This window comes from Homo sapiens, chromosome 19, assembly GCF_000001405.40.
Source record: "Homo sapiens chromosome 19, GRCh38.p14 Primary Assembly".
Classification (NCBI taxonomy): domain Eukaryota; kingdom Metazoa; phylum Chordata; class Mammalia; order Primates; family Hominidae; genus Homo; species Homo sapiens.
This window is the reverse complement of record NC_000019.10, coordinates 32,333,818-32,357,536: the sequence shown is the minus strand read 5'-3', so window position 1 is coordinate 32,357,536 and position 23,719 is coordinate 32,333,818. Positions and strand designations below refer to the sequence as shown.

General features: G+C 43.5%; 1 protein-coding gene and 1 long non-coding RNA gene across 3 annotated transcripts in view, besides 4 other annotated features; one reads left to right on the top strand and one right to left on the bottom strand.

Annotated features, from left to right (window-relative positions):
- The window catches only part of ZNF507 (zinc finger protein 507), a 42,058-nt gene extending 30,131 nt beyond the window's left edge, over positions 1–11,927 (bottom strand). The window contains exons 1-4 of one of the 2 annotated variants that reach the window (NM_001136156.2): positions 11,754–11,927; positions 10,199–10,292; positions 2,580–4,708; positions 804–921 (exon numbers count right to left, since the gene is read on the bottom strand). In NM_001136156.2, coding sequence (NP_001129628.1) covers positions 804–921; positions 2,580–4,706 — 2,245 coding nt within the window. In that variant the 5' untranslated portion in view covers positions 4,707–4,708; positions 10,199–10,292; positions 11,754–11,927. The remainder of the gene's footprint in view (positions 1–803; positions 922–2,579; positions 4,709–10,198; positions 10,293–11,753) is intronic. The other variant, NM_014910.5, reaches the window with a different exon arrangement.
- Positions 2,635–2,803: a silencer, noted in NCBI's record as "fragment chr19:32845640-32845808 (GRCh37/hg19 assembly coordinates)". NCBI's record gives its function as "represses an EF-1alpha promoter that drives an FKBP-Casp9 reporter gene in an ReSE screen in HepG2 liver carcinoma cells {active_cell/tissue: HepG2}" and the evidence as "EXISTENCE:reporter gene assay evidence [ECO:0000049][PMID:32094911]".
- On the top strand, positions 8,184–10,052 carry LOC124904689 (uncharacterized). Its single transcript, XR_007067225.1, has 2 exons — positions 8,184–8,423; positions 9,907–10,052. It is a non-coding gene; the product is annotated as an uncharacterized LOC124904689 (long non-coding RNA).
- Positions 11,754–11,943: a silencer, noted in NCBI's record as "silent region_10479". NCBI's record gives its function as "represses an Ori minimal core promoter by ATAC-STARR-seq in GM12878 lymphoblastoid cells {active_cell/tissue: GM12878}" and the evidence as "EXISTENCE:reporter gene assay evidence [ECO:0000049][PMID:35858748]".
- Positions 11,974–12,103: a silencer, noted in NCBI's record as "silent region_10478". NCBI's record gives its function as "represses an Ori minimal core promoter by ATAC-STARR-seq in GM12878 lymphoblastoid cells {active_cell/tissue: GM12878}" and the evidence as "EXISTENCE:reporter gene assay evidence [ECO:0000049][PMID:35858748]".
- Positions 17,299–17,348: an enhancer, noted in NCBI's record as "active region_14428". NCBI's record gives its function as "activates an Ori minimal core promoter by ATAC-STARR-seq in GM12878 lymphoblastoid cells {active_cell/tissue: GM12878}" and the evidence as "EXISTENCE:reporter gene assay evidence [ECO:0000049][PMID:35858748]".

The window sequence follows — 23,719 nt, the reverse complement described above, 5'->3', positions numbered from 1 at the left end:
ATTTAATGAAACATTATGGTAAAACATTTCACTCTGTAGTCGTTTCTAACTTTAATTCTTAGCAAATCTAAAAGGGAAAGTCACCCCAATATGTCTTATCTCCCATAAACATTATGTGCCACACTGGAGACATTTAAAGTATATCAATTTAAGTGAGCTGAACCAAAGCGGCACAGCTTAGTACACTTTATCCTTAATTCTCCGGATGTGGCATCCGCCTTTTCATGGAGCTCTAATTAAATCTTTTGATTCTAATATTCTTATTACCAGAAACTCGGTTGACTGCTACTTAACTAGTACATAAAAAGATCTTGTGTGTCTGTGTGTGTGCTTTTTTTTTTTTAATAATGCAGATGAAATCTGGCAGTCATACTTGGGTAAGAATAAGATCACAGCGGGGAGCCCCAGTTAAAGTTTGGGGTGGGGGCCTACCATCTGCAAAAGCTCTGTTCTCAGTAGGTCAACTGGTGCCGAGAGAGGGAGGGGAGGCCTGTTTTCCATGTTGTAGCTTTTCTGGCTTGCTTTTCTGGCTTGCTGGTACATCACCTTCTAAGGGGCTCTTAAGTTTCAACTGAAGATGAATCCTTACTATCTAGGGCTTCTCACCTAGGACCTAGTAATCATCTGCTTCATTCAGTACTTGGCATTTCCTCAGAAACAGAGATCAGATTCACTCACATCCATGGTACAAAAATGGAGGAGAATATAGGCTTTTGCCCTGAAAATAACCAACCATGACAACTAAGGGCACTTTTATGTCATGTGCAAGTCACTGCAGCCTGCATAACAAAATACATAGATACCTTCCTGGACACATTTTCCATCAGCTGTATCACTGGAAATTCTTGGCTCATTAGAAGTTGCTATTGACAAGGTATCTGGAAGACTGTGCTGTTCTCTCTCATGGTTCCTCAATTGACTCTAAAAAGTGGAAAGAAATATGTAATTTTCAATAAATATACATGTCCAACTCTTAGGAGGCTGTAGAAGAACAGGTTCATTGCTTTCATGGCCTAGTACAACGAATTACCATATTTTAAAATCAAGTCTGCTAAAGGATCATTTGACACATTTGACAATTTATAGAAAGAAGTACATTAGCAAATCATAATCACATTCAACGGACAGTTCCTCTTCATATTCTCTGAAAGGAAGTCACCATTTTCTTAGGTGATTACACAGGGCGTGTCCGTATTTACTGAAACACTGGTAGGCCCAGAGGAGGAACGAGCAGAGTGTTCAGAATAATGCAACTTCACAAAAAAAAATCCAATCAGTAATCACCAGACTCCTAATTTTTCATTGAAATATCTAAATGTGTAAGAGATCTAACTGGAAGTGCTCCTCCAAGGACATCCTGTCTCCTCTACTTCCATTCCCATGAATCAAGAGCTCAGTAGCAAAAGAAACTCCTGGAGACTTCAGGAACTTGTCTTTGCAGCCTATGTGGACATCCTACTTGGAATTTCATGAGTGTAATCTGAGAAGCAGTGAACCTCAGACTCAAGGGCTTTCTTATTCCTGTTACCTTTTTTTTTGAGATGGAGTCTCGCTCTGTTGCCCAGGCTGGAGTGCAGCGGCATGATCTTGGCTCACTGCAAGCTCCGCCTCCCAGGTTCAGGCCATTCTCCTTCCTTAGCCTCCCGAGTAGCTGGGACTACAGGTGCCCACCACCATACCCAGCTAAGTTTTTGTATTTTTAGCAGACAGGGTTTCACAGTGTTAGCCAGGATGGTCTCAATCTCCTGACCTCATGATCTGCCCGCCTCGGCCTCCCTCCTGTGACCTTTTTACCACAGCTAGACCCCAGCTCTCGGTAATCTGAGGGAAAAAGTCTACCTCCTAGTTAGCCCTTAGGATAACATTTGTAATACATTTTCAAGGAGTCACCTGGCCCACTGAAGAAAAGTTCTAAACCAATGATTCAACGTTTCCTTTATAAAAGAATAGCACTTCATACAGGATATTGGTTTTGATAAGGTCAGCACTTAAGATAAAAATCAGACAGTCAAAATAACTCTTGAAAGTTCTTTACCCTGCCCATAAAACATGACACACATGGCTCTATTTCCATGACAGTACCTTTTAATAGGTCCGCCATAGCCCATTTTTCCTTCTGCAATGATACACATCACTGTTGGTTATGTAGAAGCTGAACTGAATGCCTGGCATTCTGGGGCCATATAAGATGAAAAATATGTATTTTTTTGTTGTGATGATGTACGGTTAAATTTGTTTAAGTCAAACGTATGTCAATACGTTAAGTCAAACGTATGTCAATCCACTATACACTCCCTACAATTCTCTTGCAACAGAAAATCAACACTTTAAACTATACACACTAAAACACAGAGGCTGTCAAGGAGGCAGCAGGCAGGGAAAAGGATTCTACAGCAGAAATTCTGAACAGTCCCAACTTTAATACTGGTAAGTTGGGATCCCCTTGGGCAACTTATCAAACTTTTCTGGGACCCAGTTTCCTTATCTATAAAATGAGGTGATTGGATTAGATCTACAAAGTTCCCTTCTCACTCTAAGATGCGAAGGTCCTCTGAAAGACTTCCTGAACCAATGCTTACCTTATAATGGAAGGATTCTTCACACTGCTTGCACTGGTATATTCTTGTCTTACAGTGGTGGATCATGTGACTCTCCAAATCTTTGCTGTTGTCCGCTATGTGCTCGCAGATAGGACACTGATAAGGCTGTCTCTGTCGATGGACTCGTAAGTGCTGCTTGATGTAGCCCTTGTTGCCACTTGTGTAGTGACACAGGCGGCAACGGTAGGGTCGTTCAGCATTCGGGATGTATTCCACCACATTGTTTCCGGACAAACTTGTATCGCTGTTGGGTTGGCACTGGGCGTTGTCCTGCAACTCTTTCAAAATGTCATCGTCTGAAGCGTTTTGGTCTGTCCTTTCTCTCAATTTTTCAATGACGGTGAGTAAGGACATGCTGATGCCTGTCTTAACCTGCCCATCTGACAATTCCTGCCTACCCTCTGGGAGTGCTACCAAGGTGGAGTTGCTTTGGTTAAGACTAGTTAATCCATCTGAAGAGTTTTTAAGTGGCGACATCATTTTTGAGTACGCTGCCAATGTACTATCTACTTGCCTTTGACTAGTATCTGGATCTAAAAGGTTTATATCTCCATAGTGCCCCAGGTTGGCTCTTGTCAACTCTGCAGCTCTTATAGGCATTGTGACAAGGGCTTCTGCAGCTAATGAGTGTAATCGAAGAGACTCAGAATTTGTCCTTCTCCGGCCTGGTGGGGCATTCTCATCAGTAGCCAGGCCTTTATTCATTAACTCGTCTTTTTTCTCTGAACTGCTCCAGCCTATGATCAATCCCCCAATATCAACAGTACATTTATCAGCACGATAAACATCATCCATTCCTTCGCGCCCAATCTGAGCTTCTGTCAGGCTCAGGTCCTTCCCTTCTTCCATTTCAGTGTTCATGAGGAAGCGCTTCTGTGAAAGGGTTTCTTCAGCACTTGGCAATCGCTCCACTATCACGTTAACATGCCCTTTTTTATTGGGGCTGCTGCTGATGATTTTCTGTGCTGATGTAAGCAGGCTATCAGGAATCAGATTCTCCTCTGCATCAGAAATCACTTCTAGCATTTCTTCCTCATTGGGGTCCAGGGTAACTGACTGACTTAGGTGTACTCCTCTTTCTGCACTCTGTTCTAAAGGAGATGAAGATGATAACTGTTCTGAGCTGCAAATCTGCACTTGCACTGATGGCCCATTGTGGATACTCAGTTCACTCTCTCCAATAGCAATGACGACTGCATCGACCCCACCAGGCGCAGCAGCTGCTGAAGAATCCAGCAGGCCTAGGGGTTCATTTTCATTTTCAAAGATTGGATAGGAGCAATCAACCTCCCCAGCATGTTTCCAAGCGTGTGTTTTCAACATTCTCTGCTGGCCACAAGTATAACTACAAAACAAGCATCGATACATGCCGTACTGTTCGTATGCATACCATTTCCTCCTACCCATTTCTGCCACAGATGCAGTTTGGACAGTATGAGTCTGTAGATTGTCCACACTTACTGGGATATCTGGAATGGTTTCATTTCTTTCTGTGGTTTTCCGACACAAAGAGCTGGAGGGGCTTACGCACTGTTGGGCTTTGGATTGGGTGTGGATATTGGCATCATTGTCATGGTCATTCACCACGTGGGCTTCAAGTTCCTCCTGGCTTCTAGATGTAATATGGCACTCTGAGCACATCAGTATCACTTCATTTTGCTGACCATGTTGCTTAATATGATCTTTTAACACGGAAAAGGATGATGATAGAAACTTACAAAGGCTACACTGATAAGACATAGCCTTCCCTTCATTCTGGGCAAGAGTGTCAGGGGTAAAATTTGTTTGTGACATCTCAGCCCTTCTAGTATCAGCAGCAGGTGACTGGATTACTTTAGCCGGAATCTCACAAAGTTCTTGGGTTTCAAGAGAGTGTGTTGCAGCACTTGAACGTGGGCGTTTCTTCCCAATTAAAAGACATTTTTGTGACTTTTCATTTTCCACTATCTTGCTTAACTTCTGGATAACATGGATTAATGGATCTGGTTTAGTTTTTCTTTGTTCATCAATTTCCAATGAAGGACTGATGATACTTTCAGCAGTCAGTATAGCTTCCTGTTCCCCAATATCTGGCACCAACATGGCAACACTGCTACTTTCTTCCATATCTAAAAAGGATAATGTAAAACAGAAAAATACCAGGTTACAGGATAATTACAGGCATGTAATTTGGAAAATATAAGAGAATGTTAGTGTCTGTAATCTCATCTAAGTATTTTCTAAGCTGGAAGCTCCATGTCCACACACCCGGCGATCCCCAGTATAGATTTAAATTGGTTAGAATTTCTCTTTACAATGCAATCTTCTATCAAGACTAATGATGAAGATACTCCCCTCTATCACTTATTTCTTCGGAAATGATGATCTTTTTCTCCATTTTTCTTCACTTTCTTTGCCTTCAGCATCCAGCAGGACCAAAAGTACTCCCTCCCTTTTGCACAATGCCAAGAAAAAAAAAAAAAGACTCCTATTCCTTGATTAAAGGAGCACAGCCATTCTCAAGGCATGTGAAACCCCTCCAGTTACTGTGAAACATCACTCTGTAAAGCCAATGACTGATACAATTCTTGAGAGTATTTCTTATACCAAATATAGCTGCAGTTTTATTACTAAAATCACAAATTTGTTTTTTTTCTCCCCAAATCTTTGAAATTGTGAAACTATAGTCATGTAGTTTGTACAGGGCATATTGAATTTGGGAAAGTACTATATAAATGAAATTAAATAAAAGCAATAATCTAGTTCCTACTTTTACTTCCTTTATCTTCCTGAAGATAAACCACAAACTATGCTGTGGTTTTTTTTTAGAGGTCATATTAGTGGTCAACTATTACTCATATCCACATATATGGTTTTTTTTTTTTTCCCTGAAAGGGTAAGGGACATCAGAGAAGGAAAAAATTGATATCCCAGTTGTGTTTCAGTTCCAGATATGAACAGAGTCCTTAGAAGAGGTTATTTGTTCGTTCTAATAATGCATTATGGCTGAGGAAGTCACTAAACATAAAATACCCATAAATCTTTCTGCCTAAGTCTAGAATACTCTTTCTATTTCCTGGCAGTACTTTCATTTCAAACATTTCCTTTGGCTTAAAGTGAGATTAATTTGTTGACTTGGATCACATTTTTAAGTTTAGGCTTTTTTCCAGCAACAAGTTTTGTTTTTCCACATTTTAGGTGCATTCTGGAATCTTACTCACAACATTCAATAAATGCCAACAAAATTTTTAGTGGCACTAGCTATAGACCAAAGACCACACTATTCTTAAACTTCAGTCCCAGGCTCTGAATTCTTATTTTAGGTGGTGAATCATGGCTGTTCTTCCCCGCATGGTTGAATCAACATATAAGGGCCCTTCAGCCCCTGCCAAGATGATACCTAATGTCCTGCCAGGCCCCGCCCGCCCCCACGCCACACACACACACATATACACAAACACAAAAACAGGCCCCGCCCCCCCACGCCACACACACACACACACACACACACACACACACACACACACACACACACACAGCTGACCAGCTTCAGTGCCAGGTCGCCCACAACTCTGGGCAGCAGCTATGGCTTTTCTTCCTGATTTTCTACTCCTTCTGGCAAGCCAGCTTTCTAGATCTAGGTCCACATCAGGCAAAAATGCAAACACTTTACTCTTGGCTTCTTCAGTACTATTTCTTCCCTTCTTCCTAATAATACTCTGCCCTATGGCATCAGCTTTTTTTCTCTTGGCTACTAGCTGTCTCTAACTGCCCTCACATGCATTCCATGGCCATTCCAACAATGACAGCTACCCTGGCTCCCAAAGGCCCGTGGTCCTTCAGCCACTCTCCCTTAAACAATCTCTCAAAAGACTAGTTCTGTTTCATCTTTCTCAGGTAGAAGGAACAAAAGTCTTTTTAGATCTCTACGCTCAGCTGTAAGTCATTAAAGAGGAGACCAATGGGGGAACAATTTGTTTCCTTAGAAAAACCCTTTTGTGACTTCCTAAGTCACTTTATTGTCTTAGAATTCCACATTTTTAGGCCAAGAGGAGCTGTGGCTCTTCATGTGACTACTGATTTCCCTTTAAGGTGATTAACTTAAGGCCTTATGTCTGTCAGTTCAATGGTTAAATGCAAATTGATTAAATAATAAGTTTAATAATAGGAATCCTCCTGAACACGATACGGCTCTCTGCTGTAGATCTAAGGTCTCCTTCCCCATGAAATGTAACACCCATGTAGGCTGACTGATCATCTGGAGGTTAACAAGTGAATGTTTGCTCAAGAGACTTTGCACACCCGTAGGGTTACAAAGGTGACTCATGTTATCTTTCTTCTACTTAATAAGAGAAGTGACACAGACCAGTGCAAATTGCTCCCTGTGGATATTTCAGTGTGTACCTTAAAAAGAAAGTGAAATGAAGAGAAGGAGGAGTTCATCTTAACTCAAGAAAAAGACTAATACAAAAGAATCTGACAAAACATTCAGATTTTTAAAGCTGTGTCGGCTCAGGCATTAAGAGCTAATGGAAATTTGCAGCAGATGCTCCAATTTTCCCTGAACATTTATGTAAGTATCTCATTTTAAAGGCTGCATACATTTGGGGATAAGTACAGTAATGGCAGCTATAAAACAGATATGACAACATGAAATACGTCAGGAAACACCTGAAAAACCAGTTTGGGTCCCCATGCAAAATCAATGCACAGGTTAATCTCATAAAAACAAGTCTCTGTTAAAAAAAAAAAAAAAAGGTTAGATAAACAGCTGATAATAAAGTATACACAGAGGGGAAGTTACTGTAAGGCCAACTCTTTCAATTTTCACAAAAATGTTACTTAGACCACTAATGCAGAAATACATATATATGAGATTGTGTGTCAAGTGAAGCAAATCTGAACAAAAGAGATGAAATAAGGAGTATACATACAATGTCAGTGGCTCAATAGTGATGACAACATAAACTATGACAATCTGCATACTCTCCTTGGCCTCCAAGAGATCAGTGTAAGCACAGCTTTAAAACAATTACCTTGGTGATACTGCAGTGGTGGGGTGGATAGGATGAGAATAAAGAAAGAATGACTAATTCTGTAATTGAAGTTGCATGATGAGTACCTAGGAATTCACTGTTCTTTCTACTTATGTAAATGTTTAACATTTTTCATAATAAAAAGGCTAAACAGATCATAATAAAGTATACACAGAGGGGAAGTTACCTTAAGGCCAATCCTTCAACTTTCTTGATTCCTTAAAATCACAGAAATTTTATTTAGACCACTAATGCAGAAATACAAATATGTGTGTGTGTGTAACAAACAAATTGTTATGTGCAAGGCGCAAGGCAAAGTATCAGGAAAAATTTTAAATTCTTAATACTTGCAGTTTAAAACTGAGTTGAGTGGATAAGGCAAACATTTGGAAGTTAAAAAGTAACAGCATTTAAACAACGCAATGGTACACAAGGTAAAATAAAAGGCAACAGTCAATGACTAAATCCTGAAAGATACTGAAGAGCTCTTTTGGGCTAGCAAGGTAAGCAAAAGCTTCATGGAGAGGTAAGATGTCCACTGGTTCCCAAAGGATGGGCAGCATGCCAGACATCATCCATTTGCCCTCTAGGCTCACTGTATCCTCCTTTCCATTCTGCTCTCTGTCAGAGGGATTACATCACTAGGCTCCCCTGTCCTCTGCCTTCTGGTTGAGGTCAGCCAATGAAGAACCATGACAGATCAGAGGGAGGTAGCAGAGTGAGATCAGAATATTCATCGTCCTGGTTCTCTACCTCTAGGTCACCTTGGATTGGCTGTGTTCCTCAATAGAAGGCTATTTCTTTCCAGGTAGGCTGCTCTCCAAGACCCTTCTTCTGATTCTGATGCCTCTCCCTCTCCTAATGCTGCTAGCTCCAGATAACTGCATTATGCTGTGGTTTGCTTATTGAAGTCCAACACCTTTATTACTAATATCTTTGTAAATATACCTTCCTTGAATTATCCTCATTTCAACGTGCCATTTGCTTCCTTGGAATACTGCTGATACAAGTTGACACAAGGGTAGCAGTGACCAGAAAAGCAGCCATGACATGACTATATTTTTAGAAGTAAGAATAAGCATGCTATCTGGGGGTGAGTGAAAAGATCGATATGGCTGAATAGGAAAGTTCACCAGGAGGAAAGAAGACGACAGGCATTAGCAAAACAGGAGATTTCTTGTTTGTAATGTTTAGACATAACAACATTAAATATATTAAATTGTTACCAATAAATAAGTAATAAACAAAAGTTGTATCCCAAACCAGAAAAGTTCTATAACCCTTTCCACCAACTCTCTCAAATCTTTCCTTGACAACAGTATTCCACAGGCAAATGCTTCTAATTAATATCTTTCTCACAAAAAGTTAGGAGCCAAATTATTTCAGTTGTCTTTATTTCCTTATAATTTGCTATTTGGTTATTTGGGTATCTAATTAGTTCTTTATAATTACAGTAGTATGGTCATCATGAGTAAAATCAAGTTGAACAATTCATGTGGGCCTGGAGAAAAGGCTGTAATTTTCTGTGTTTATATGAAGAAAAGTACAATATGATACAAAAGAACCTTCTCTTTCAGAACAAGAATTTGTTTTTTCCAAAATGGGAAAAAAAAAAAAATTGTGCTATAAAAGTAATGGCCAATAAATTCCCCATTCTTCCAGATTATTGTAATTCTAAAATATGACAAATTTATTTTGCTCCAGCCAAAAGAAGGCAGGGGACATAAGCTCAAGGGTCCCTCCCCTAAAGTGCCCTCAATTAGCTGTGTGACCTTAGGCAAGTCACTGTCTCTGTGAGTTTTAGATTGCTCAGATGTAAAACAAGAGGGTGAAGCTAGATGAACTTTCAGGTCCCTGAATTATAAACTGTCTATAAAGTTACCTGGAAACTGCTTACACATTATTTATAGATTTACCTCACTATATTGGCTACAATTTATTTGATTTAAAATCTTCTGAGCCCAAGGTAATTATTAATTACCACTAAGAAAAAAATGAGTATAAATATCACAAGTATATGGAGTTTCATAGTCTAGAGTTTCTTAGTTGGCACATAGCCTGAGAGAATATTCTAATTTGGCAGCTGCAATGAAGACATAAGGTCTAACTAACATTAACCAATATTCAGATTTACTGTCATTTATTGAGCACCTATAATGTGCCAACCAGAATGCTGGGGACTACAAAAATGACTGAGGAAATCCTTGCCCATGAGGTGCAAGTCTAGGGAGTAATGCCTCTGTAGATTTTGTGTAATATTCAAATTTTGTGTATTTTTTTTTTTTTTGCAGATGAGAAACCTGAGACTCACAGACACAAAGTGGTAACTGGTTTAAGAACAGGAATCCAGGCCAATCTCACTCTAAAACCATGCTTTCTCTAATACACCAATTTTCATCTTAATTCTCAATGAGAATAAAAATGTACAAAATATCAATACTGAAAAGAGTAACAGCTCCTTACAGCTAGGCTCTATCAAACATGTTAGTGGTATCTGATCCTCATAACTCTTTAGGACAGGCTAGGTGGGTGTTATACAGTCTTATAAATAAGGAAACACTCAGTGTGGTTTAAGTGACTTACCCAAGGTTACATGGCTGTTAAGTGGCAGAGCCAGTGTCTTTCAAATCAATTCCTGAAATTAATACAGTCCCTTGGATCAATCTTCAAAATCCAGCTGTGGCCAAGAACGAAAGTATATAGTATCAAAACATTTCTCTTTCTTGGTGAAACAAAGTAATGATTTTTTTTTTGGCAGTGAAAAATTTCTCAATATTCCATGTAAAAAGAAATTCAGAGGAATGTTCATGCAACCCTATTACGTAATGCAAATTTAAATAATTTATCTAACAAGCCGACTTGAGGATTTTGCAGAAGTTAGGAAAAAATAGCTCTGGAAACTTCTCCCAATAATTGTGTATTTTGTTTTACCTCAGAATTTAGGTACTGGACTCAACACTATTGGTTTTACTGACAACATTTTCTAATGAGAATGGAACAATAAATTGCACATTGCTATTTTAATCTAAACTAAAAATACAATCTAACGAGTGATTCTGCAACCAAGCACAATAGGCAGAAAAACAGCATAAAAAGATATGACACAGTGGTGTGACCTATATATCTTCTAACGCAGTTTCCTACTCTGGTCCTACATTTCTTTGCCACTGTTTCTTATACTGGCTGGAATAAATCTAAAAGATAAAAAAATGCTTATTCGTTTCACCTAGAATGCAACTACCTTATCGATTACGGTTAAGTAAAATAGCTCACTGCCAGGGCAGAAAAAACATCTTTAGGGCTCCCCTGAAGTTAATTTTCAACGAGTTAGTGAGGTAAAGGAATGAAGGGCCAGGCTTTCTTTTAATCAATAATGCAACCCATACTCTGAGTGAGAGGGGAGTACTGGAGAAAGTGCAAACTCAAAGAGGTGATAAATCCAGTAATTGCCTGAGAAGAGCGATGCAGACTGATAGCAAATTACAGCCCACTGCAGAAACTTAAAAATACCGCCTTGGGGTTGGGAAAGTGGCCGCCACCTTATTAATCATCCCGGCCTTCTACACAAACCATTCATTCCGATGCCCCCAGGTCTTAAGAGGTGGGAACTTTCCCTGATGGTCTCCGTGATCTCTGGAGACATCATTCTATCTCCAGAGGATGGTAATAAATGCAGAAGACCAGGGCTGCGTTTCTGTAGTAGCTTTTTCTACACCACGCACTGGCTAAAGGACTGAGGTGATGGGTCGGGAATGAGGGAGCTTAGAAAATTAATCAAAAGATGCTGTGAGAACATCGTGGCTGGGTCCATCCCGGCTGGCCTAAGCGATCTCACATTTGCAGAAAGAAGCAACGCCTGGAGAAGGAAGCAACGCCTGCGGGCGGGCCGGGCTGGTGACAGTATGCAGGGAGCAGCAAGTTCCCCCCACCCCCAGCTGCAGGGCAAGCCCAGAGTCTCCGCAGGCCTTGCTGCACAGAAGACAGAACCGGGACACGGAACTTGGGGCTTGTGGCTAGCACCGGGCGGGGGTCGGCCGGCTGAGGAGGAAGCGAGCGCCGGCAGAGGCCTGAGGGGAGGATGCACATGGCCGGCGGCGGCGCTAACAGCGGGCGGAGGGGCGGCCCCGGGGCGCGGTACCTGCGGTCAGGCGGCGGCTGCTGCTTCCGCGAGCCTCGTTTGGCCAGCCAGGACCCGGCCGTGCCCTCGCCCTCGTCCTTGCCCACCTCTCTCCCGGCTCTTTTCCCTCTTTTCCCCCGGTTTCCCCCTCCTCATCCGGAGCTCCAAAATGGCGGCGCTGGGGACGGATCACGTGAGCCGCGGGTGGGTCAGGTGACCCGAATGGCGGGCAGCGGGGGCGGGGCGAGGCTCAGGCCCCGCCTACCGGCGTCCCGGGCCGCCGAGGCTGGACCCGCGAGAGGGAGGCTCCCCAGCCGGTTTAGCCCCTTGCAAACCCTGGCTCCCGGGCGGGGTTCGGGCCCAGTTGTCTGGCTCTCATGGCCCCTTCCAGACGTCTAGATTTAGAAGTCACCGTGTATTCACTTTGGCATCTCCCCACGTCGCCTAAATCCGCTGTGGGCTAGCCTTATCACCCCACTCACCCCGCAATTGGCTTTCAACAATGGGCATTGGGGTTTTTTTTTTTTTTTTCTTTAGCCTTGTGCTTCTGGATTTGTATTAGTTCCTTTGGTAGGACTGTACATTTCAAGGTGTTCTTGGCTAAAATATAGAGGTCCTAGCCAGATTCGCAGCTTGGCGTTAAGGGGTGCCTGTTAAGGGCCAGAGCTGGCCCTGGGGAATCTCTTTGCTTGAGAGATTCAGGATTTTCAGGGTTTGTAGGACCAGACCCAGTAACACAAGCTCAGCCCTCCGAGGGCACGATGGTGTTTGTCATTCGGATCTGTTCTATGAAAGATACTAGGGTGGTTCTCCTGCTAACAGTGAAAAACGGACTAAGTGAAGCATTCCAGCCAATTTCACCAAAAATGCTGGATAGTTTTGCCGTATTAGGAACTACGCAGCATGGTGCTTGGGTCTGGACTCCGGGTGAGCGGTGGGCATGAGCAAGGGTGTAAAACTGAAGATTCTGGCCATTGTAGTGGAATGGACTCATTTGGTGAGATACCTCTTGGGGATCTGTTCCAGATCTTTTTAGAGGCCTTTACAGCTGGCTGGGCTGTCCACGGTCCTGGGAGGAAGATCCAACAAAATTTAGAATCAGACAGGCTGATAATTCCTGTTACTGTATTTCAGAATTCAAATTCATCTGAATTTGGGGGTTAGGAAACCAGCAAAGTTAGAATTTTTATTTTTATTTTTATTTTATTTTTTTGAGTCAGAGTCTCACTCTCTCCCCAGGCTGGAGTGCAGGGGCGCAATCTCGGCTCACTGCAACCTCCACCTCCCAGGTTCAAGTGATTCTCCTGCCTCAGCCTCCCGAGTAGCTGGCACTACAGGGCGTGCCACCATGCCCAGCTAATTTTTTTGTATTTTTAGTAGAGACGGGGTTTCACCATGTTGGCCAGGATGGTCTCGATCTCTTGACATCATGATCCGCCCGCCTCAGCCTCCCAAAGTGCTGGGGTTACCGGCGTGAGCCACCGCGCCCGGCTGCAAAGTTAGAATTCTGCTATTCCACAGAATCCTTTGCCAATTAGACCAAATAGCTGTGAAAAAATAAAATGTTGAGTAATTTTTTTTTCGATAAAAGGTAAGAGATTGAGCAGGAGACTAGCATGGAAGGGTGGAAAGAAAAAACAGTGAAGAAAACCCAGAAATACGAAGTGTTGAAAGGGAGAACAAACAAGTAATATGAGAAATTCCTTGCCTTGGGCTATTGGCACAAACAATCCTAACTTATCATTATCTGAAGAGAGGCTTTTCGTTAGTCATGTCTTAAGTGTAATGTCCATGAATCTGAAAGTAGACAGACGAAATGACAGAATTATTTGATCAAGGGAGAGTGCAGAAACACAATAGAGAAAATATAATCTAGGGATAATAAAGAACTTTTAAAACAAGCGAACGAAAGTGTATCTTCGTTTGAAGTTCCTGTGGTGGTCATTACTGGTATTCACCAGCTAGTTCCCATTGTCCCTCTTCTGGCATAAGGTTAGTTTCCATTGACCCTGTGGCTCGGGGGTGTGGCCAGTACTGGTGTTGGCTAATGGATCGTGTGTGGGAGTGAGGGCATTCCCTTCATACTGGAGCATTTAATTGCCAGTGCAGTTCCCTCCAGAGTATGTTTCCCTTTGGCTTGATGACTGGCAGTGTTTCAGGTGGCGGCCATCCCGTCAGCCAGCATCTTAGAGGGACAATGATGAGCTGAGTCCCCAGCTGACCCATGGTGGTGGATATGTAGGGTGAGCAAGTCTCTGATGATTTTGGAGCTGATTTTTTGTTGTTGTTTTTTTGAGACAGAGTCTCACCCTGTCGCCACGGGTGGAGTACAATGGTGCGATTCCGGCACACTGCAACCTCCACCTGCTGGGTTCAAGCCATTCTCCTGCCTCAGCCTCCAGAGTAGCTGGGATTACAGGCACATATCACCACGCCCGGCTTGTTTTTGTATTTTTAGTAGATGGGGTTTCACCATGTCAGCCAGGCTGATCTCGAACTCCCGACCTCAGATGATCCACCCACCTTGGCCTCCCAAATTGCTGGGATTACGGGCATGAACCACCGCACCTGGCCTTTTTTTTCCTTCAATTTTAGATTAGGGAGGTCCATGTGCAGATTTGTTACATGGTATATTAGATGATGCTGAGGTATGGGCTTCCATTGATTCCCTCACCCAAATAGTGAACATTGTACCCTATAGGTAGTTTTTCAAACCTTGCCCCCCTCCCTGCCTCTCCCTTTTTGGGATCTGCAGTGTTCATTGTTCCCTTCTTTATGTCCATGTATACCCCATGTTTAGCTCTCACTTATAAGTGAGAACATGCAGTATTGGGCTTTCTGTTTCTGTGTTAATTTGCTTAGGATAATGACCTCTAGCTGCATCCATGTTGCTGCAAGGGACATGATTTTGTTCTTTTTTATGGCTGCATAGTATTCCTTGCTGTATATGTACCGCATTTTCTTTATGCAGTCTACCATTGATGGCACTTCAGTTGATTCCATGTCTTTGCAATTGTGAATAGTGCTTCAGTAAATATATGAGTGCAGGTGTCTTTTCGGTAAAATGATTTATCTTCCTTTGGGTATACACCCAGTAGTGGGATTGTTGGGTGGAATGGTAGTTCTAATGTTAGTTCTTTGAGAAATCTGCTTGTTACTGTAGCATGACACAGCCACTGATACCCACTCCCTACTCTGATGTACCTGGAACAGCCAGAGCCATTAGGAAGAAATCATTATAGGCAGAAAGGAATGATAATGAAGGAATTAGGACCTTCATTCCTGAAGACTGAGAAAGTATACAATGCAGAATCTGATAGGAAAACCAAGACAACTTCAAAAAGCCTGGGACACAGCACCTCAGTATTTCTCTTTCCTAGAAAAGAACTCTCTGGAAAGTTACAGTCAACATTTTTAAGTCAGAAGAATGCAAAGGCATTCAGATGTAGTTCCATTGAACTTGTGGACATCTCACCTAAGCTCTTCTCAGCACCTCTCACCTGCCACAGAGTGTTATTTATCATGATTTAATTAAACAATCCTAGTAAGATTTAGTATTATAGATAGGAAACTCGCTTATTCAGTTATCTAGCGCCTATTCAGTGGAATCTGATTGTGTCTCCAGATGAGAGATGACCCAGTAACTGAATCCCTATCTCCACACACCTCATTATTTTACTTTGAGGCCATTAATTAGTCGATGAGGCTAAAGGTTTCGCTTTATCTACAAGTATCATGGGTCTCTGTATCTCCTAAAGTGACCACGGAGTTTGATGATTTTACAAGCTGAACTGGAGCACTACTTACGTTTTGGGAACGCTGAAGACAGTGCCTCGAGTAAGTTGCCAAGGTGATGACTGGTTGTAAACTGAATGAGACATTGAACGAGTTGAAACTGGAGGAAGACCTACTTGTTTCCAGCCACAATACTTATGAAGGACACCTTGTCTTTGGTGTGATAAGATTAGATTAGATTTGTTTTGAAGGGATTAATCATGTAAGTCTTTGGCACAGAACCGAAAATTGGACGAGACGTGTGGCCCGTATTTCTTTAAGGTGTAATTTTTATCATGACCTTTAAAAAATATACTGCCTCGGCCGGGCGCGGTGGCTCACGCCTGTAATCCCAGCACTTTGGGAGGCCGAGGCGGGCGGATCACGAGGTCAGGAGATCGAGACCATCCCGGCTAAAACGGTGAAACCCCGTCTCTACTAAAAATACAAAAAAATTAGCCGGGCGTAGTGGCGGGCGCCTGTAGTCCCAGCTACTTGGGAGGCTGAGGCATGGCGTGAACCCAGGAGGCGGAGCTTGCAGTGAGCCGAGATCCCGCCACTGCACTCCAGCCTGGGCGACAGAGCGAGACTCCGTCTCAAAAAAAAAAAAAAAAAAAAAAAAAAATACTGCCTCAAAAAAGGAGAGATTGTAGAAAGGTGAGAGGAGGCAAGAGAGCTAAAAGGCAAAAAAGGATGTGGTAGTGCGAGCTGAGAAAAATAAACCCCGAAATTGTCCCTGACTTTGCTACTTAGCCCTTGTGGGACTGTGAGCAAGTGGGCTCTATCTTTCCGATGTTTTCACCTTGCTTGTAAAACAAGAAGTTCAATTTATCCTTTTTTTTGAGCTTCAGATGACTGGTATATAGAAGCACGGAGTTTAATGATAGGAGTCCTCTGGGTTCAAGATGGGACTTCATCATTAAGAATAATGGCAAGACTTGATTTTATTAATGAATGAAAAGATTGCTTGATGTAAGTCAGAAGGAATGTAAGATGAAAAGACGTGATATATTATTATATATACAGCTGTCAGTAATAAATTAACATTAGCTCTGGGTTCCTTGCACTTTGCATCCTGAATATACACCTAGAAATACTTCATAATTGTAGTTCAGGTCTCAAGGACCATCATAAATTATCCCTCTGTCATTCATTCTCTGCTAAAAGCCACAGACCTATGTTTCTTCAACAGCACATCAACATCTAAAATCCTTGGTGCTATGAGGCATACATATTAATTTATTTCTTATTGAGGGCCCAAGTAAACCAGAAGGATGCATAATGACCAACCCTGACGATGAAGAGGAGGAGAAAGGGCAGGGGACGTGATTGTGAAAATCAGGGTTGGCTCTGGCTAATACTGGTCTTTGCTTAATTTGCAGCTCAGCTGTTTTGGGGCTGAGATGCTAACTTATTTAGAAAAGGCCCACCGAGGAACTCAGACATAGCAAATATAGCAGCCCTGCAGTCAACGCTGCGATGGAATTCTCTCCAGAGTTCTCCTAGCCCTGAGACCCTGTCTTAGACTCAGGACCTGGGTATAAGGACAAGAATCAATAATGGTGACATCTAGTGGCCCACGCGCAATGTGCAGCCAAGCCACAGGGCACTCCAGTGGAAAATGGGACCTGTGCCTGGTCCAAGCCAACTTAGGCCTGACCCCAAGCTCCTGAATCAGCCTAAGAGTTTGGTGTCTGGCAGAGATTCCCTGCATTCGTGTTGATTTGTGATTGGGATCCAGGAAACGCACCAGCAGGCTGGGAGTGGAGGTGGAGGGGGGCTGCTTTTGAGGCCGACAGGAGGCTCCTTTCAGTCTAGTCTGCATATGCCACAGACTGGTGCTGCAGGAAAGCGTGGCTCGGCGGAGCTAGCGGTGGAGCAGGGAGCTTGCCTCCGCCAGACTGTCTTTCTGCCTCAACGCAGACTGGTTATTGGAACGCTCAAGCAATTTTCAGTCGTCTTTGTCAATAAAGTCAGTCTCTTCTCTGCAAAGGGAATGAAAATGAGATTTTGAGGCCTCCAAAGAGCTCTCTTCTTTGGCCATTTTTCTCTACCCAGGAGCCAGGGAGTGGCTTCACCGAGCTGGGTGGGAGCTATTTGCTCTGCCCCAAACCCCTGTTGACAGGTAATACCACCTGCTTCTGAACAAGACAATATGATTGTAATAGTATACTGTTCAATTCTTCCTAGGGAAGCAGTTTCCTGAAAACAGTGGCCTTTATTGATGAGTGGAGCAGAGGAAGAAAATGAAAAGAAGAAGGAGGAGAAGATGAAGAAAGACACTAAAAGGAAAAGTAACTGCTAATCAAACCAAGAAAGCCCAGCTAAGGGGTAATCCTGCAACTTAAAAATATGTCATTTGTTATTTTGACAGCTCCTTTTGAGGTGATAGACTAGGAGGAGCTGCTGGCATCATCACCGACTGGCTGGGAGTTCTACTTCTTGCTTAAGACATCAGTAAATGGATAACTGCAGATTGCAAGGAGTCTATCTTCTAAGATTCCCAGCTTGAGCTCTTCGTATACTGGGGAAGACCAAGCAGAGGGAACATGGTATAGTATTTGACCTTCTGGGATGTTTATTTAATTAATTAATTAATTAATTAATTTTTATTTTTTGACACTGACACTCTCGCTCTGTCACCCAGGCTGGAGTGCAGTGGTGCAATCTCAGCTCACTGCAACCTCTGCCTCCTGGGTTCCAACGATTCTCCTGCCTCAGCCTCCCGAGTAGCTGGGAATATAGGCATATGTCACCATGCCTGGCTAATTTTTGTATTTTTAGTAGAGATGGGGTTTTACCATGTTGCCCAGGCTGGTCTTGAACTCCTGACCTCAAGTGATCCACCCATCTTGGCCTCCCAAAGTGCTGGGATTACAGGCGTGAGCCACCATGCCCAGCCTGGGATGTTTCTTTCACTGAGAAAGAGACATGAGTGATAAAGGAAAGGAAAAAATGCATATCGTACCCAGAGAAAGTTCACTATATTAGTCCGTTCTCACACTGCTCTAAAGAGCTACCTGAGACTGGGTAATTTATGAAGAAAAGAGGTTTAATTGACTCACAGTTCTGCAGGCTTAAGAGGAAGCGTGACTGAAAGGCCTCCGGAGACTTACAATCATGGCATCAGGCAAGAGGAAACAAGCATATCTTACCATGGTTGGAGCAGGAGAGAGACAGAGTAAGGGGGGAAGTACCACAAACTTCAAACAACCAGATCTCATGAGAACTCACTCACTATCATGAGAACAGCAAGGGAGACGTCCGCCCACATGATTTAATCACCCCCACCAGGACCCTCCCGACATATGGGGATTACAATTTGAGATGAGATTTGGGTGGGGACACAGAGCCAAACCGTATCATCCACACTGCAAATAGCAAATTGCATGCCCCTTCTGGCCTCATCTTCAGCTCCACAAGGCCAGAAGGCAGGAAGGCCCAGTAGAAATCTGTCGCCAGATATAAGTGGTGCATCCAGAATTAGGCATGAGTGGAGCTGTGGGGTGCATGAAGCTTCATGATTAGGTGGTCAGGCTGCCATGTCCATCCCTCTTGCATCAGGCCTCCTCCTTCCACTCATATCTCTAGGCCACCTGCAGGGACATCCCTAGGACCAGGTAATGGGAAAGCAGAATCTGAGCTACCTAAGTTCAAGAATGGGTCACCTTGGCACGTGGAAGAAAATGGACCAACCTGAATGGAGCAGGGAGGTGCACACGGACACAGGGCATCTATCTGGATCGTGGAGACCCCTCTGCTGGGGTTGGAGGACTCAGTATGGGGAGCAGGAAGAGCTCTGGCCAGAAAGGCAGATTGGGGCTGGGACTGGGCCAGGCAGAGACAGGCAGCAGGCCTCTGTTGAGGGCCTTCTGTTGGAGGGCCCATGTCGGGCGCTCTGCTTGTGTGATTTCCTGCGTCTTTGTGGACTTCACTCTCTTGTCATTAATTCCATGTGTAATCACTGCCTCAACACGTGTCTACCCTGGTGGGAAATGAGCTTCAAGAGCCCAGGGGAGCTTGTCAGTTTTGTTCATCAATATCTCTCCTGCCCTTCCGGCCTAGAACAGGGCCTAAAATGTAGCTACATTCAGTAAACACTGAATGATCGAAGAAAAAAGTGATTTCATTTAGCAGACATGCTCCCAAGCATAAAGTTTATTGGAGGAGCTACTCAAAAGCATCTTTTGGGAAGATAGGGTGTGAGATTGAGGGCCGGAGGCTTGGAAAGAGAATAAACGTGGCATCCAGTTAGAGACAAGGGAGTTGGCCACAGAGAGGCCCTAAGAATCTAGTCTGTGGACCGGTTTTCATTGACCCTGTGCTTCAAAACCTGTTAGCACTCACTAGCTGTGTGTCCTGGGCAAGTTACTGTACCTCTCTGTGCCTCAGTTACTTCATACCTACCTTACAGGGCCATTGAAAAGTTTAAAGAACCGAATGTGTGTCTGACTCATAGAAAGCAATCAGTAAACAATAAAGTATTGTTCTTGCAAAGACTGGGACTGGAATGATATGAAATGGAAGGAAGAGATGGAGTTGAAGGACACTGTGAACAAAGAATATGTCGCATTCAATGGCTTGTTGGAAACAGGGTGGGCGCTTCTGCTCTTCCACGCGCCCTTGATTGGAAGCTGCTGTTCGCAAGGCACAGACGGCTCTGAGCTCCAGACACCGATGACAGAGGCAGGCACAGAAGTCAGACAACACACGAAAAGAAGAAGGGCAGAATCGCCCAGCGACTCCATAATCAGCTTATGTCGTGGAATTTGATGTGAGCACGTTAGGAATGTCACATACGACTACGTGGGTTTTTCAGCCTATTTTTCCTGAATGCGGATTTTGTTGGCAACTGAATGTGTGCTAACACCCTAAGATTTAGTTGCATTTTGGTTAAGAAGTCCAGAAGACTTTGGACTTGGCTTTGAAAAACCGAAAGTGAATTGAATTTGCATTATTTAAGGGGCTTATTCAGATGAACACTGCTATCTCTTCAGATGTAAAAATTCCAAGACTCAAGAGTTGATATTTCAGCAGCAACAATGACATCTAGGGGCTGGTTGCTACAGGTTTAATCTTAGCTATATATGGTCTACATTTTGAAAACGAAGAGTGCTAACATGTTGATGCAATCCAGAATGTCTGCTTGGACTGTGTGAACTTGGTTGGTGGCCAGGGCAACGCTGATGGATCAAAGAAAAGAAAAAGCTGAAAGTGGCTTATGCTGTCATCTAAGAAAATTACTTTGCTTCTGAAATTGCAACACCTCTCAGTTTGCTTGATATACTCATTTTCCCCCTGACCTTTTAACCAGGGATGTGGCATCCTTCTCAGCTTTCCTGTTTAATCCAGGTCCACTCTTCCCATGAGTGACAGAACCAACTTTCCTGCACGGAGAGGGGCTGGGGCCTCAGGTTCTAGCCGCTTTTGGTTTTTCCCATCCTTTGAAGAGCCGGTGGAGCAAGTCTTTGGCGGTTCATTTCATCTCTCCCCTATGGTTGTTTGTTTTGTTTTGTTTTTTTGACACAGGGTCTCTCTCTGTGGCCCAGGCTGGAATGCAATGGCCTGATCCTACCTACTGACTCCTAGCTGAGCCTCCAACTCCTGGACTCAAGTGACCCTCCCACCTCAGCCTCCAGAGTAGCCAGGACTACAGGTGCATGCTACTGCACCTGGCTAATTAATTTTTTTTTTTTTTGGTAGAGATGGGGGTCTTGCTATGTTGCCCACCCTGGTCTCAAACTCCTGATTTCAAGCACTCCTTCTGACTCGGTCTCCCAAAGTGCTGGGATTACAGGTATGAGCCACCATGCCTGGCTCCCTTATATTTTTATCAGATTCTTTCATTTCATTTTTATTTTTTTTGAGACAGAATCTTGCTCCGTTGCCCAGGCTGGAGTGCAGTGGCATGATCTCAGCTCACTGCAACCTTTGCCTCCTGGGTTCAAGTGATTCTTCTGCTTCAGCCTCCTAAGTAGCTGGGAATAACAGGGCCTGTCACCATGCCCGGCTGATTTTTATATTAGTGGAGACAGGCTTTTACAATGTTGGCCAGTCTTGAACTCCTAACCTCAGGTGATCTGCCCTCCTTGGCCTCTCAAATTGTTGGGATTACAGGCATGAGCCACTGAGCTCAGCCGAATCAGATTCTTTTAAATGGAGACTAAATACATCTCTTGCCTTCATGGCTTTGACCATCAGTCTCAGAGGCAGCCTTTGGTCTGTTGTCAGTAAGTCAGTCAACTAACAGTGTTGATTAAGCTCCTCTGAGTACAGTCGTGTGTGTGTGGGTGGGGAAGGGTGTGTGTGTGTGTGTGTGTGTGTGTGTGTGTGTGTTCCACTGGTGCTTAGATGGGAATGAGGGTAACTTGAAAGGCAGTACACATGGTATAGCCCACATGAAAAACACGCGTAGTTTAATTAGGGGACACCAAACATACATGTTAACAGAAAATAAACTATATATGAAAACATCTGTGAGAATACTGGAAAAGTACACAAATATTCAGATAATGTTTAAGTTTCCTCCCAGCATGAACATGCTGTGATTTTTGTGCAGATTAAAACAAGTATCCTGCTCTACGGATGCATAATAATGTTGGTGTCATCGCAAGAATAATAGCTATGTTATAGATTTTTGGATTTTTTGTTTTGTTTTGTTTTTTTGAGATCAAGTCTCACTATGTCACCCAGGCTGGAGAGCAGTGGCCCGATCTTGGCTAACTGCAACCTCCGCCTCCCGGCTTCAATCAATTCTCCTGCCTCAGCCTCCTGAGTATCTTGGATTACGGGCACGTGCCACCATGCCTGGCTATTTTTTTTTTTTTTTGTATTTTTAGTAGAGACAGGGTTTCACCATGTTTGCCAGGCTGGCCTCGAACTCCTAACCTCAGGTGATCTGCCCGCCTTGGCCTCCCAAAGTGCTGGGATTACAGATGTGAGCTACCACGTCCCGCCTAGATTTTTGTTTTGTTTTAGTGAGAGCAGTGCAAAATAGAACCCATCTCCATGGTTGAAGATGGGTTGACTCATTGTTATCAAGCTCTGAGATTCGTTTCTGGGCCATTTGCAGAAGTGTACATTTGCAGTTAGCTGAGAGTAGCAAAACTTGGCCTGACTGTACCACTCTGGAGATGTGTGCCCTCAGTGTTTTTCTGTTTACCTTAAGATGGGCCAGCAAGTCCTTTTTATTTCAGCCCTTGCTGTTGACCTTTCTTTTTCTCTCTTTAGTGTGTTTGTCCAGTCTCCTGCCTCAGCAAGTGTGCAGAACGGATGCATAGCAGGTTGTCAGTTTCACCTTCTACATAATCCTCGAATCTTTCCCTTTCTGAAAGAGCCTAAAGGTCCCCAGTGGCTGCTCATAAAGATCCAGACATTTATTTCATCTTCGAGGTCCAGCCTGATGTCCCTGGGCACTGCCCCAGCCTCAGCCCCATCACACCTGCCCATCCTCACCAATCTACACTTTGGTTTTCCAGCTGCACCAAGCTCCGTGTCCTCACTGTCTCTCCCTACTCCCCATTCATTCTCTTACTCTTCCTTCAGGTCTTAACGAAAGAGCTATTTTCTCAGGGATGCCTTCATTGACCTCTGTGACCAGATTAAAATCTCTTTACCCTCTCTTAACACCATGTGCCCCTTGCTATAGTTGCAGTTTATCTGTGTAGTTTGGGGATGAATGGCCACTCCCTTCTATAGACTGTGGATTCTGTGGGGTCGTCCACAATGTTGTATCAGCATCTGGCATGGTACTAGTAGATTCTTGTAGTACTTCAGATCTGTCTACCCAATATCACTTTGCTCCATTTAACTGTGTAAAATAGAGAACTGGATGGTAGACACTATGGGTTATCAAAGGTTATATTTATGTGGGTTGTTGGATCCACTGAGGAAATCTTGATTTTCTTTTCTTTTTTTTTTTTTTTTTTTGAGATAAGGTCTTACTCTGTTGCCCAGGCTGGAGTGCAGTGGTGCGATCTTGGCTCACTGCAACTTCCACCTCCCTCGGCTCAAGCAATCCTCCCATCTCAGCCTCCCTTGCTGGGACCACAGGTGTGCATCCCCACGCCCGGTTAATTTTTTTGTATTTTTAGTAGAGAGAGGATTTTGTCATGTTGCCCAGGCTGGTCTTGAACTCCTGAGCTCAGGTGATCCACCTGCCTCAGCCTCCCAAAGTGCTGGGATTACAGGCATGAGCCACCACGCCTGGCCAG